This window comes from Homo sapiens, chromosome 15, assembly GCF_000001405.40.
Source record: "Homo sapiens chromosome 15, GRCh38.p14 Primary Assembly".
NCBI lineage: Eukaryota > Metazoa > Chordata > Mammalia > Primates > Hominidae > Homo > Homo sapiens.
In genome coordinates, this window is record NC_000015.10 from 40,111,054 (window position 1) to 40,126,674 (window position 15,621).

General features: G+C 46.7%; 4 annotated features.

Moving 5' to 3' along the window:
- Positions 4,874–4,933: an enhancer, noted in NCBI's record as "active region_9235". NCBI's record gives its function as "activates an Ori minimal core promoter by ATAC-STARR-seq in GM12878 lymphoblastoid cells {active_cell/tissue: GM12878}" and the evidence as "EXISTENCE:reporter gene assay evidence [ECO:0000049][PMID:35858748]".
- Positions 5,259–5,762: an enhancer, noted in NCBI's record as "H3K27ac-H3K4me1 hESC enhancer chr15:40408513-40409016 (GRCh37/hg19 assembly coordinates)". NCBI's record gives its function as "activates a minimal SCP1, AML or CMV promoter by ChIP-STARR-seq in primed H9 embryonic stem cells {active_cell/tissue: H9 hESC(primed)}" and the evidence as "EXISTENCE:reporter gene assay evidence [ECO:0000049][PMID:30033119]".
- Positions 12,285–12,900: an enhancer, noted in NCBI's record as "H3K27ac-H3K4me1 hESC enhancer chr15:40415539-40416154 (GRCh37/hg19 assembly coordinates)". NCBI's record gives its function as "activates a minimal SCP1, AML or CMV promoter by ChIP-STARR-seq in primed H9 embryonic stem cells {active_cell/tissue: H9 hESC(primed)}" and the evidence as "EXISTENCE:reporter gene assay evidence [ECO:0000049][PMID:30033119]".
- Positions 12,901–13,516: an enhancer, noted in NCBI's record as "H3K27ac hESC enhancer chr15:40416155-40416770 (GRCh37/hg19 assembly coordinates)". NCBI's record gives its function as "activates a minimal SCP1, AML or CMV promoter by ChIP-STARR-seq in primed H9 embryonic stem cells {active_cell/tissue: H9 hESC(primed)}" and the evidence as "EXISTENCE:reporter gene assay evidence [ECO:0000049][PMID:30033119]".

Consider the following 15,621-nt stretch of genomic DNA (forward strand, 5'->3'; position numbering starts at 1 on the left):
CTGGCCAGTGGTGCCCCTGAGCATTCCTTCGGTTCAAGAGTGAAACTCAAGGCCACAGCAGCTCTGAATCTGCCCTCTGGGACAGCACAGGCCCTGAGGGCTGGGGCCATCGTAGCTCTCCTGACCCACCTGAGATGCTAAAGCTCTGTGTGCTTCATCACAGCCCTGCATGGTAAAATTGGGTCCACAAGGCAAAGAAGCTGAGAGAATGGGTTCTTTTTGTTTGTTTTGAGACAAGGTCTTGCTCTGTTTCCCAGGCTGCAGTGCAGTGGTGCAAACACAGCTTATTGCAGCCTCAATCTCCCAGGCTCAAGTGATCCTCCCACCTCGGCCTCCCAAGTAGCTGGGACTGCAGGTGTGCACCACCACAGCCAGCTACTTTTTAAATTTTTTATTTTTGTACAGACAGGGTCTCACTATGTTGCCCAGGCTGGTCTTGAACTCCTGGCCTCGAGCACTCCTCCCACCTCGGCCTCCTAAAGTGCTGTGATTATAGGCATGAGCCACCGCACCCAGCCAAGAATGGGATATTGATATGGGATCTATGTACTCATCAGGCTCATCAGAGTCCTGAGCTTTAGGGTTTATGAACCCCTGAAACTGGCTAAACTGTGTTTGTGGGTACACACAAACATTTTTGTGAGTGGGGTGGATCCATAGCTTACAACAGTTTCATAAAGTGGTCTGTGGCCCTATAAAGGTTTCAGAAAATCGTCATTGTGACAGAACTGGGCTGAGGAACAGGAGGGAGTATCTCAGGGGGTCTGGCAGTTTGCAAGATATGGGGAGGGTCACATCACTATTGATATTTATTTTAAGACCTCTCTCCCAGGTCTTCACAGCCTGCTCCCTCAGGCTGGTTCTGAAAGACACCTGTGGCTTTGCCTCCTGCGCTCTCAGTCTCTAAGGTCAAGCAGCAAGGGGCCCAGCCTTCTGAGCTAGAGGGACCAGAGAAGGACTGTCAGGGATAAAGGGGTCAGGGAGGTCAGGAGCCTCACCCCCACCTCTCATCACTGTCAAAGCAGACTCCTCCCTCTATGCCCTTTTCCCCCTTTCAGCACTGCATGGACTCAGCAGTATCAGGACCTGCTGTGCTGCAGATCTGGGCTCTGAGCCCCCTGACCAATAGCAGCACCCTGGGAACAGATGAACCCTGAGCTTTTGACTGGGCTCGGAGCAAATACACAGTGCAGTCACAGCAACCTCTATTTTGGAGAATTTCCTTTCTCTCATTCTCTTCCTGCACCTTGTCTCAATTTGTTTTCTCCTCTGCTAACTGATGCTGGCTCTGGGAGAAGGGTCCCCAGAGAAAGGCATCAGCACGGAGGCTGATAGGGAGGAGGGCCTTCCCTGACAATCTTGGAGGGATACAGAGTTAAGGGGAGGCTGCTCTCAACCAGAGAGAAAACCCAGCTCCTGTAGAAAGCGGGCAGGAGCCCTCTCCATTGTCTCACCTGGCTATAGGATTTCTCTCTGAGACAAGAAATGGCTCTAAAACTCCAGTAACTGGATCACTGGAAAGGGCGGTTTTTAAAAAACCAGCTGACAGCTGAATAATAGGAATTACCAGGCAGGCTGCCCTGGGGTTACTGAGGTTTGTAACTCAACCCCCAGGGAGGGGTTAGATGGGAAACTGATTTATGGGTAAGGTTGGGGTCTTGCTGGGGGAGCACATGGTGCCTGACCCCCTTAACTACTTCCAGAAGAGCTCATATATGTAAGAAAGACCAGGGATCTGCAAGACGTGGGTGTCCTTCCCTTGCCGGACTTGCCCTATCAAAGGGACTTTATCTGTTATCCGTCTGTCTGCAAAGGATAGTTCCTCTCTTCTGAGTTGTAGAGAGTGTGTGTTTGTGCGCACGAATGTGTGTGCATGTGTGTATGCGTGTGTGTGCGCGTGTGTGTGCGTGGGTAGGTGTGCGTGCATGTGTGTGCACGTGTGTGTGCGCTGGTAGGTGTTTGTGGGCGTGTGTGCACGCGTGTGCGTGGGTGTGTGTGTATGCGTGTGTGCGGGTGCACACACACGTATGGCGGGGGTGCGCGCACGTGTGTGTGTGTGTGTGCGCCAGAACAGACAGATTGGCTTCTACTAACTGGGCAAGTTAAGAAATTTGATTGCCTAGTCAATGAGCTCACTTCTTGCCAATTGCTGATTCAGAGGGATTCAAATAGAAAAAGCAGGTACTCTACTCAAGAGAAAGCATCTGGGAATTCAGAGACCTGGATGTAAAGGGAAATACAGAAACTAAGGACTAAAGCTGGCATGCTACCCTCTGGGAAAGCTTGGAAGATAAGATGTGAAGTCCAAGATCCCATGAAGTATGACAACAGCATATGTTCAGTTTCATTTGGGGGGACTACTCGGTAAATATTTGTTGAATGAGTAAATGAATGTATATTCACACGTTTAAAAAGTACAAGTAGTTCTGTATTAGGAAGTGGGAAGAAAGCTACAGTGGGGGATTCCCGATAAATGTCCTGTCTACATTGGCTTTGCCATTTAGGATGCCTGGTCTTATCTTAGTTTCTTTTTTTTTTCTTTTTAAAAAATTATTTAATAGAGATGGGGGTCCGCCTGTGTTGCCCAGGCTAATTTCAAACTCCTGACCTCAAGCGATCCTCCCACCTCAGCCTCTTGAGTAGCTGGGATTACAGGTGCAAGCCACTGCACCCAGCTTATCTGACTGAGTTTCTTCTCACCAGCGAGATGATCCTCCAAGAAGACAAGGGTGATGCCATCTACTCCTTGATACCCTCCGACTGCTCTGCTCCAGGCTTGGCACATGAGTCACTCACTAAGTCTTTGGAGACAAATTTACTGGAAAAACTATGAGCCAGGCCCTCAGGGCAGTATCCTCAGCTCCCCTCTCCTCAACCCAGTGTGCAGCCCGTGGAAAAGAAGTTAGCTTTATCCTGCCAAGGAATGAAGAAATCCAACAGAAATACACTTTCTTTAACTCTACTTCTCCCAGGATGTCAGCCTTTTTCCTGGTCAAATGTACATCACTACAACAGTACACACTTCTTTTTGGGATTGGCAGGGAAATCTCAGAAATTTCTAGCTGAGGCCAGATTTATTGCTATCAAGGAAACCTGCCACCCAGAAGAGCTGGGGACCAGTCCCTTCCCGGCTTCAAGTGTCCCAGGTTTTGAACTTGGTGTTCAAGATGATCTGGGCTGAGAAGTGAGTTAGATCAGCTGTTTTTCAGCCAACTCCTTAGTCCCCACTGTCCTGGAGGGGAACAGGGTCTCTCTCTGGAAGGGGCTTCATGAGACAGGGGTTCAATCCCTCAGGTGTGAGTTTATCAGACATTTACTGAGCACTTGCCATATGTTAGGCTCCACGCCAGCAGCTGGAGGTACAGACACAATCCCCTTGGGGATCATTGAACACATCAGAACCCTTTTTTCTCAAACATGAACTTGCATATACACACCTATACACATGCTCAAAGAGACACTGAGGATTAGAGGAGGGTATAGCAAGAAGAGCTGGAACTAAACAAGCTAAGGAAAAACAGCCTTCTCCCAAATGGTCTTGCCTTTCCTCGCATAGAAGCATCTGGAAATGTCTGAAGCCCCATTTCCCTGCTCTCAAAGCCCACCTGTTATCAGGTGGAGTAGACAGAGCTCTGGGCTAGTGTGGCCAGGTGCAGTAGCTCATGTCTATTTATCCCAGCACTTTGGGAAGCCAAGCCAGGAAGATTATTTGATGCCAGGGGAATCACTTAAGACCAGCCTAGGCAACATAGTGAGACCCTTTCTCTACAAAACATTTAAAAATTAGCTAGACATGGTGGTGCACGCCTATGGTTCTAGCTACTTGGGAGGCTGAGACAGGAGAATCACTTGAGCCTAGGAGTTGGGGGATACGATTGCACCACTGCACTCCAGGGTGAGTGACAGAGTGAGACCCTGTCTCTTAAAAAACAAAAAACAAAAACAAACAAACAAAAAAACAGAAAGAGCTCTAGGCTAGATGTCAGGAGATCTGGATTCAGCTCCCAGCTCTGCTACCACAGGTGATCTTTTCCAACATGCATTTATATGCCCTTATGGATTCAGAGGTGGCATAACTCGGGTAAATAGTCTGGCTTAGCAGGGATTAGAATTTAGGGCTGACGGGCCGGGCATGGTGGCTCACGCCTATAATCCCAGCACTTTGGGAGGCCGAGGTGGATGGATTACCTGAGGTCGGGAGTTCGAGACCAGCCTGACTGGAGATGGAGAAACCCCATCTTCTACTAAAAATACAAAATTAGCTGGGCGTGGTGGCACATGCCTATAATCCCAGCAACTCGGGTGGCTGCGGCAGGAGAATCGCTTGAACCTGGGAGGCGGCGGTTGCGGTGAGCTGAGATCATGCCATTGCACTCCAGCCTGGGCAACAAGAGCAAAACTCCATCTCAAAAAAAAAAAAAAAAAAAAAGAGAATTTGGGGCTGACACCCACCTCTTAGCGCAATCCTGCCCAGGTCCCTGGGCTGTAATGAAAACAACTCCCACCTGCTGAGCATTTACTATGTGCCAGACATGTTGTGTCAAACAGTGTCTCATTCAGGCTTTAACAACCTCAAGATAGACCTATTACCATCAGCCGTGTTTTACACTTAAGAAAACTAAGTTTACTTCTCCGAGTATGGGCCCACAGCAACAGAAGCACAGTCTGAAGCCACCCTGGCATGAAAGCCAGTGCTAACATCCCATACCTCTACTGCCTTTAGGCACACTCAGTCCCTCCCCACAGACAGGATTCACTCCCCTTCCCCCATCAATAACACACTGACCCCGGCTGCCCCCTGAACAGGAAGGCCAAGCCTGAGGCAGCCTAGCGAGGTACATTCCAGCTCTCTCAGTTGCAAACACTCCCACTGCCACCACCACCTGTGGCAGAAGCGATTGCATCACCCGCAGGAAGCGGTCCAGCGGCCCAGCATCAGCTCTAAGGCACATTTTCGGTTCCTACTTCTATCCTTGACTACATTCAACAGGCTGCCCTGTCTTCCAGCCCCTGCCCTGGCCCTGTAGCTTTAGGCTAATGTGATGACTGGACATGGGACTGCAGTCTGCTACTTAGATGAGATTTGTACAGGTCCATTTTCTCATCACTGCCGGGTGGGTGAGGGGGGTCCGGCTAAAGGGGGCTTCTCAGCTAAGGACCATTCGGAGATCCTGTGGGCTCAGAGAAAAGTCCTCTCGGATGCAGGAGACAAGCAAGGGAGGGGAGTCCCAGGCAGGTACCATAACCTTATCGCTACCTTTCAATGACGTGGGCCAGCGAGAAGAAGGCCCTCAAGAGCCTGCCAACACAGCCAGGATGTCTCTGATGTGGGGGTCTCAGCCCATCCGACTGGCAGACATGCTACACTGGGCTTTGCTTTCCTCCCTCTATTATTATTTTTTTTCTTGAAACAGGGTCTCACTTTGTTACCCAGGCTGGAGTGCAGTGGTGGCACAGTCTTGGCTCACTGCAACCTCGGCCTCCTGGGTTCAAGTGATCCTCCCGCCTCAGCCTCCCCAGTAGCTGGGATTACAAGTGTGAGCCACCATGCCTGGCTAATTTTTGCATTTTTAGCAGAGACGGAGTTTCGCCATATTACCCAGGCTGGTCTCGAACTCCTGACCTCAGGTGATCCGCCCCTTCTGCCTCCCAAAGTGCTGGGATTACAGGCGTGAGCCACCACGCCTAGCCACTTTCCTCCCTCTATTGCCATGGAATCTTCTGGAACTGAGGAGAGATCCTTGTCCCTGTAGTTTCTCTTCTGCCTGTCCTGGATGTTCTTTCCCTCTCTGCCAACTTCTGTCTCCCTCCTCCTCACGTAGCACTCTTTCTTTATCTCTTCATCTCTCTTCCTACGGTGGTTTCTTCCTGCATTCACCACCTCTCTCTGGCCCCACCCTGGGTCACAGCAATAGCAGTCAGCCTTTTAGGCTCATAAAATACTCGACATTTTAGTGGAAGTCATCTTGTGTGGAGAGGCTGCTTCTTTTAATGTTATCGTCCCCATTTGAAAAGGGTTCACTTGAGTCTGAGCGACATTTTAAATGCCTCTACAGGTGGGGTTATCACTGTCTCTTCACACAGAGATCAACCCTAAGCCAGAGACCAATATGGGTTTCTCCCAGCTCTCAGATAGCTCTTCAAATGCTGAACCTGACCGACTCCTTGGTAGGGGTTAAGGCACCTGGATCAGTGATTTGAATAAATATCAAGTTGTTCTTTTAGGACCAGCCCAGCCTTAAATGACCAACACTGGTTTACTCTGTTTAAAGAAATGTCAAGCTGCAGTGTGAACCTGGATAATGATAGGACCATTTCAGAATCACTCCAAAGGTTTTCAGGTCACAAAGCTGCACCAGATGTAATAAACCCTAAAGAAACAAATGGGGACCCCAAGGACTCTGAATTCTTCCCCAGAATTAGGCTAGGTTATGAGATCTATTCCAGGTTTCATGGAATCTTTAGTATCAACTGAGGCTATGCAAACTTGTGATAAAAAATAAAAATAAAAAATATAAAACTGACTGGGCGCGGTGGCTCACACCTGTAACTCCAGCACTTTGGGAGGCCAAGGCAAGTGGATCACTTGAGGCCAGGAGTTCGAGACCAGCCTGGCCAACATGGTGAAACCCCCTCTCTACCAAAAATACAAAAATTAGCCAGGCGTGGTGGCACGTGCCTGTAATCCCAGCTACTCAAGAGGCTGAGGTAGGAGAATCGCTTGAACCCCGGAGTCGGAGGTTGCAGTGAGCCAAGATCTCACCACAGCACTCCAGCCTGGGCAACAGAGCGAGACTCCGTCTCTAAATAAATAAATAAAAACTATCAAGATCAATCTTGAAAGTTAGGAAAATACAAAAAAGGAGGAAATTTTTAAAAATTCCCAGATGCTTCAGAGTAATTTTTTTTTGCCAATCTTGACCCCTCTCACAGTGAAGGTGTAAAATATACAAAAGTGACCCCTGTATAAGCTTCTGGCATAGATTCTTATTGACCTGAGGGAGAAAATACTTCTCCAGTTTATATCACCACTGAGACAAGATCATAGACTATGACCCTTACTATGGTTTGGAGAAGTTCTCAGAGGTGAGGAGAAAAGAACCTTGATGTTGCTTTGAGTATGGAACGTAGTTCCTCAGCAAAGCATTTTTGGAGTTTACTAGTTTCCTTGTCTGCAGGAAGTTTTTGCTTAAATATTTATTGCTCAAATATTCCCTGTCGGCAGAGAGCTTCTGTATTCCATTTCTTTGGTACTTACAACAAAGTTTGTGTCATTTTCTTTGAAATGCGATTTTTAAAAAATAATTTAGTCTTATATTTTGGGGACCTGGTTTCATTTGATCACGTTCTCCCCTTGGCAATGGGGTCCTTTCCTCTTTCTACATATTCCCCACAGGTTTAACTGAAATAATTATTACTTCCTCTCTGAAAAAAACTATTTCCTTTACATTAAGTATTTCTAGGGCACATACCATGTGCTATCCTCATCAAACCACATTAGGAATTTTAGGAAGGCCATGAGGTATAAGACATGTCTCCTACCTGCCTTCCCACTGGCCTGCCCCACCCCTCCTCCACTTTCATCATGCCCAGGGGCCACTGAAGGAGCCAAGATTCCTCGGGGATTTAATTGGGTGGCCACAGATAACACAGCGAAATAATACTATGACCACAGTGAGATAACACTGTGACTCAGTTAAGAAGCCAGTGTTGGCCAGGCTCAGTGGCTCATGCCCGTAATCCCAACACTTTGGGAGGCCAAGGCAGGCAGATCACTTGAGGTCAGGAGTTTGAGACCAGCCTGGCCAACATGGTGAAACCCTGTCTCTACTGAAAATACAAAAATTAGCTGGGCATGGTGGTGCATGCCTGTAATCCCAGCTACTCGGGAGGCTGAGGCAGGAGAATCACTAGAACCTGGGAGGCAGAGGTTGCGGTGAGTCGAGGTCATGCCACTGCACCCCAGCCTGGGTGACAGAAGGAGGTTTCATCTCAAAGAAAAAAAAGAAGAAGAAGAAGCCAGTGTAACAGGGTAAGAACAAGGCTTTGGAGTTAGACAAATGGGGTTTCAAATCTCAGCCTTGGCACCTGCTGGTGATTTGGGAGTAGTAAATTAACCTCTCTGAACTTAGTTACATCACTTCTCAGATGGAGATAATTATAACATCCTCATGTGGTTGTTGGGGAGTAGAAATTCTAATGAACTATACAAAGCACCTATTAGAGTGCTTTTGTATAGAATAGATGCTCAACAAATGGTAGATACTACCATGTGTTCAGCACTGTGTGACAACTGTGAGATAGAGAAAGAGTTGAGCCAGGCATGGAGGGGTGTTCCTATAGTCCAAGCTACTCTGGAGGCTAAGACAGGAGGATCACCTGAGCCCAGGAGGTCGAGGCTGCAGTGAGTCAAGATTTTGCCACTGCACTCCAACCTGGGTATCAGAGCGAGACTCTGTCTCAAAAAAGTAAAATAAAATAAAATAAAATATAAAGTTGGAAGAAAAATGAAAAAACTGTTGGCCCTGTTTATAGAAGCTGTTCTAGTTGAGGAATCAAACCTAGCACATAAAAAATAACTGTAGCATGTTAAAAATGGCATATAAGGCTGGGCTTGGTGGTTCACACCTGTAATCCCTGCACTTTGGGAGGCCGAGGTGGACAGATCACAAGGTCAGGGGTTCGAGACCAGCCTGGCCAATATGGTGAAACCCCGTCTCTACTAAAAATACAAAACTTAGAGAGGCCTGGTGGCAGGTGCCTGTAGTCCCAGCTACTCGGGAGGCTAAGGCAGGAGAATTGCTTGAACCCTGGAGGCGGAGGTTGCAGTGAGCCAGGATCGCGCCACTGTACTCTAGCCTGGGCGACAGAGCAAGACTGTCTGAAAAAAAAAAAAGCATACAAATTACCTTAAAAATCATATTCCAGTCAGCCCTCTGTATCCACAGGCTCTGCATCTGTAGATTCAACCAACCTCAGTTCAAAAATATTCAGGAACAAAACAATTGCATCTGTACTGAACATGAATAGACTTTTTTTCCTGTCATTATTTTCTAAACAATCCAATATAACAACTATTTACATAGCATTTACATTGTGTTAGGTACTGTAAGTAATCTAGAGATGACTTGAAGTATATGGGAGGATGTGCATAAGTTAAATGCAAATATTACATCATTTTATATAAGGAACTTGAGCACCTGTGGATATTGGTATCCAGTGGAGGCCCTGGAACCAATTCTACACAGATATTGAGAGATGACTATAATAGAATATAATGACTATAGAAATAAAATGAGACTATGCATGTAAAATGCTTGACACCAAAGTGCCTTACATATAGTAAATACTCAATAAATGGTAGTACAGTAGTTATTATTATTAACAATAACATTCTCCTAGATTCTTTCTAGAATAGTGGTTTTCAAAGTGTGATCCCTGGTTCAGCAGCATCAGCATCACCTGGAACTTGTTAGAAATGCATATTATTGATCTCCCTCCCAGACCTACTGACTCAGAAACTCTGAGAGTGGGACCCAAAAATCTGTGTTTTTATCTATCTATCTATCTATCTATCTATCTATCTATCTATCTATCTAGAGACAAAGTCTTGCTCTGTTGCCCAGGCTGCCATGCAGTGGCATCATCACAGCTCACTGCAGCCTCTACCTCTTGGGCTCAAATGATCCTTCTGCCTCAGCCTCTCTAGTAACTGGGGCCACAGGTGCACACCACCATACCCAGCTAATTTTTAAATTTTGTTTAGAGACAGGGTCTCACCATGTTGCTCAGGCTGGTCTCAAACTCCTGGCCTCAAGCGTTCCTCCTGCCTTGGCCTCCCAGAGTGCTGGGATTACAAGCATGAGCCAGCATGCCCAGCTCAATCTGTGTTTTAATAAGCTCTCTGGGTGATTCAGAGGCAATAGTTCTCCATATTGACTGCACATTAGAATTACTGGGGAATTTCTTTAAATCCTGATGCTGGCTGGGTGCAGTGGCTCATACCTGTAATCCTAGCACTTTGGAAGGCTGAGGTGGGCAGATCACTTGAGGCCAGAATTTTGAGACCAGCCTGGCCAAAATGGTAAAACCCCGTCTCTACCGAAAATACAAAAATTAGCCAGGTGTGGTGGTGCACACCTGTAATCCCAGCTACTAGGGAGGCTGAGGCACAAGAATCACTTGAACCTGGGAGGCAACGGTTGCAGTGAGCCCAAATCACAACACTATACTCCCGCCCAGGCAATAGAGCAAGATTCTGTCTCAAAAAAAAAAAAAAAAAAAAATCCTGATGGCCATGCTTCACCTAGACCAATCAGGATTTCTAGGGATGAGATCCAGGCATTAGGATTTGTTAAAGCTCCCCCATGTTATTCAAATGTACATCTGGGATTTTGGAATATATCTGTACATAGAGCTTTGAGTTTACAAGAAGAGAAGACTATTCAATCTTTACAATGAGTAAGTTTTCTAAAGTAAATTATGGAAAGGACCCTAAAATACCCTTTCCATCATTTCACCCCTCCTCCCAAATTGGCCCTATAAAAAAGACCCAGGAAGAAGACAGAGCCCCTTCTGTAACCTGAGGTTGAGCAGAGGGTCATGGAACAATTCATCCTGCTTCTTCCCTTTAGAAGAACAGCCATCCCAGGGAAAAGACATGGAGAGCTTGAGCCTGATACTAATTTTTAATCATTCCGTGCTATAAATTCCCTCTGGAGGACAAACAGGCATCTGTCTTGACATTAAGAGGCTCTTGTGTCACCCAAATCCTTTAATTATTCATGCAACAAGGAAGATCCTTTATGAGCCCCAACCAAGCACTCCAAGAGCCTGATCCAGTTGTCCCTAGATGCAGTCTGTCTACCTGGCCACACTTGCCCAACCTGGCTTAACTTTGGTGTCTCCAAAGCCCAGGATGATATCTCAGAAAGAGAACTTGGTGTGGAGTTTAGCAGAATTTGGAGTGAAATGGAAGGCAGGATAACCTAGAGCTCATGTGCCATCCTCTGTAAGTGATTGTACAAGATGAGGTGTTTGGAAACAGTGGGTTTTCACCCCAGCCATGCCTGTGATTAGAGGGAATAGCCACTGGCCCCTCAGTTGCGCTTGCTGGTAAAGTTGCTTTCCTACAGGCTGTTTTAGGAAAGTAGCTAGGAGTAAAAGAAAGGTGAGATTTGGAATCCTCCGGCAGACAGAAATCCTACTGTGTGTACCTTATAAGTTACTTAAACTTATAAGTCCCAACTTCATCTATTTATAAAAATTGGGGCTTCAACGAGATGACAAATGTATAAGTCCTAAGCATAGTGCCAACTACGTAGATGCTTAGGAAATGTTAGTTTCCCTTCCCTTTCCCAGAAAAGGGAAGGAGTGGCAGGAGTGTGATCAGTCAGCTGCCTAAGCCTCCTCTCTGACCCCCCAGAACCTCTAGTGAACCTGCCATTCAGTGTCACTGTCTTTCGGAGCTATTGCTAGTTAAAAATAGGGAAGATTTACATGTTAAATACTTATCTGATAATTCCCCCACCAGGGCTGCAGCGAATTTGTGGTTGAATCCACTTTTAGTTACTACCTACTTTTCCAGTGCATAACTTAGAAACTCAAGTAGCAGAAAATAAAGTTTAATTCTAAAATTATTATTGTAAAAATGAATATGACAATCCTGTGACCTCTGCTCCTTCACCGGGAAGGCAGCATCTCACGGGCTGAATCCATTCCTGTGACGGCTCAGGACTTTCTTCTAGGCTTCCTTTGTGGGTTTGGGTTCACATTTCTCCATCCCCTCACAGGATCTAGGGCTGAATTTCTAAAGAAGGAGGAGAAGTACAGGGAAAATGGGCTGTTGTCCTTACAAAGGAAATGGTCCCATCTTTTCAATGCCCCAGGCCCTCTGGAAAGCCCACAGAGACCCCACATTGCCAGCCTGGGAATCTGAATAAAAATAACCTCAGGCCTCTTGGAATAGACACAGATGTTGTGCTTATTTTCATACATTTAGAAGCAAATGTAAACAATGAATTAATTCTGGCATCCACTAGTGACTGCAATCAACCCCAGTGTTACAAGCTGTCCTGTGGGAAGCAGATGGCAGGAATGCAGCACAGGGCAGGGCAGAGCCCCAGGACAGGACAGTAGCTGCAGATCACAGGGCAGGGCAGGGCAGGGCCCCAGGACAGGACAGTAGCTGCAGCCCAGATGCAGTTACTGTTCTGGGACCTTCCTGAAGTAAGGGGCAGAGGCCCAGTGCCTCAGAGACCTAATGCCTCTGAACTCTCTCCCCTCTCAACTCCCGCTCCTTCCTCCCCCATATCCAGGGGAGGCCATGGCTCATTCACTCCCTGCCTGAGCCCCAGAGGATCTTCAGAGAGCTGCCCAGCCTGGGACAAAGAGGCTGGACACATACATCTTCACCGCGCCTGGCCAATTTTTGTATTTTATTTTTTAGAGGGAGTCTCACTCTGTCGCCCAGGCTGGAGTGCAGTGGCGCCATCTCAGCTTACTGCAAGCTCTGCCTCCTGGGTTCTCGCCATTCTCCTCCCTCAGCCTCCCGAGTAGCTGGGACCACAGGCGCCCGCCACCATGCCTGGCTAATTTTTTGTATTTTTAGTAGAGACGGGGTTTCACCGTGTTAGCCAGGATGGTCTCGATCTCCTGACCTTGTGATCTGCCTGCCTCGGCCTCCTAATGTGCTGGGATTACAGGCGTGAGCTCCCACGCCTGGCCCAATTTTTGTATTTTTAATAGAGACGGGGTTTCGCCATGTTGCCCAGGCTGGTCTCGAACTCCTGAGCTCAAATGATCCACCTGCCTCGGCATCCCAAAGTGCTGGGATTACAGGCGTTAGCCACTGAGCCTGGCCATCAGTCCAGATTATTTAAAAATTTTGATATCTTAAACTGTGTGAGCTATGAGACCGTGGCCGGTGTGAGGCTTGTGAAGGATCACACCTACTACCACAGTTTATTCACCAGGACCTGAGCCAGTGCTTCTAAGTCCTAACTGGCTGAATTTGCTTATGCCTAGAGGGACCAGAACCTCAGTCAATGACACATGTTCACAGCCTTGTGGCTGGAGTCCCCAACTTGCAGTGAAGTAAGATTGTCCACAGATATATTTCACATTGTTTTGAAATTTCACCTAAGCTAGGGTGTCTCAATTTCGGCATTACTGACACATTGGGCTGGGGAATTCTTTGTTGTGAGGGGCTGCCCTGACCCTTGTAGAATGTTTAACAGAATAACTGGCCTCTGCCCAGTAGATGCCAGTGGCACTCCCAGTTCAACCAATTCTGCCGACAAAGTTTCCCCAAAAGACAATGCCCCTCCATAAAAGAAAACACAAGCACATTTGTATTGTGGGGCCTAGCTACATAACCTGTGGGCCTCAAACTAGCAGCCTGAAGGATGCCTGGAAGCTCATTACAAATGGAGAATCTCAGGCCCCACTCAGACCTAGAAATCAGGATCTGCCTTTCAGCAAGATCCCCGGGTGATTCATCTGCACAATCAAGTTTGAGAATCACATTCATGGAGTTTATACAAACTGCACATCTGCGTGTGACTGGAGTGGGGCCAGCTCTGTTTCTCAAGGGTGGGAGGGGGATTACTGCCATTTTGGGTGGGACAATGTGTTGTTGTGTGGGATTGTCCCATGCTTTGTGGGACAGACTATCCCATCCCCATTAAATGTTCACAATGCTCCCCAGTGCCCAAGACAAGTAGACATTCCCTCTAAGACTTGGTGGAGTAGAGCTGCCCTGAGGTGTGAACCCCGGAAGAGGAGAGTCCCTCCACTCTTAAGACCTTGGATGAATGCAATTTGCCTGACAATAGGACTGCCTGTCCACAGATGGGTCTGGGAGGAAAGGAAAGATGCAGAAGTTAAAACATCACAGTGCTCTTCATCACGGCTTCAAGGGGTTAGGGGCTTGCTAGGAAGTGCCAGGTGATAAGTACTGGCCAAAGGGGAGCCAGGGCCATGAGCCTGGCATATCCCAGGCAATGTCCAAGCTAGGAGCATTGAGGAGTGGAACAGAGGAGATATAGGAGCCCTCCGGGAGAAGCAGGAATTACAAAGTGCTGCCCAACCAGTCAGACCAGCTGGGCCGGTTCCCCCTGAGTCCTGGCAGCCTTAACGGGCTCTTTAGAATAAAGCCAATGATTGAAAACACTTTGGCATCCCAGAGCTGTGCCTGGGCTGAGGAAGGAAATGGATACAGGTGGGTGAGGTGTCCATTTGGTAGGAATAACATCACAGGTGGGGTGTACACCCCCTGTGATATTGGGAGTAATATCATCCTCTCCCAACGTGGATATTGGGAACAATATCACAGGGGCCTGTACACTTCCTCGATATTGGTAGTAATACCATCCTCTCCCCCTTGCATATAAGAAACAGTATGTCAGGTGGGGTGGACCCCCCCCCGCCCCGCGATATGGGGAGTGATATCACCCCCCTCTCCCTCCCTGGATACTATGATCCATGGTGGACACACAGCGTGTTTACGATATTGTGAGTAATATCATCTCCACCTCTGGAAATTGTGAACATTATCACAGACGGGTGTACACCCTCTCCAACATCACAAGTAATATCATCCTCTCCCCCCTGGGATATTAGAAACAATATCAGAGGAGTGTTTCTATCAGAGGAGTGTCTACCCCCTGGATATTAGGATCAATATCACAGGGTGGGTGTACACCTACTGCCATATTGAAAGTAATATCATGCTCTCCCTCCCCGGATATTAGGAACTATATCACAGGTGGGTGTACACCCACCATGGTATTAGGAGGAATATCATTATTAATCACTAGTCATTTATTACCAATATTAATTTAAAAGAACATTAACATTAATATTAACTTCTAATATTAATATGAACAAATAATTGTTAACATTACTATACTATTAATATTAATATTAATTATTAGCTAATAATGTTATTTTATACATATTTGTGTATATAGAAGATCAGTATTATCAACATCAGTCATTATTATTAATAATTAATATTAATAAATTTTGTTATTAATATTACTGGTTAATTATAATTGTTATTGATTTTAATAATTATATTAATTATTGATTATTAATAATAATTATTAATATTATTCCTGATATCTAGGGGGTCGAGGATGACATTGCTTCCTATATCGCAGAACATGTAAACTCCCCTGTGATGTTGTTCCTAATAACCAAGGGTAGAGGATGACGTTCCTCCAAATATCGCAGGGGGTGTACATCCCTTCTGCGATCTTGTTGCTAATATCCAGGCGGGGAGAGGACGATATTAATCCGAATATTGCAGAAGGTGTAGACCTCCCCTGTGATATTGTCCGTAATATCCAAAGGTGGAGAGGATGATATACCTCCCAATTTCGCAGGGTATGGATACCACCCCTGTGATATTGTTCCTAAAGTCCAGGGGTAGAGAACATGATAAGACTCACAATAAGGCAGGGGGTGTGCACCCCCTCCATGATATTGTTCCTAATAGTCAGGGGGGAAGAGTATGATATTACTCCCAATATTACAGGGGGTGTGCATGCCCCCCTGTGATATTGTTTTTAATACCCAGGGAGGGAGAGGATGGTATTACTCCCAATATCGTGGGGG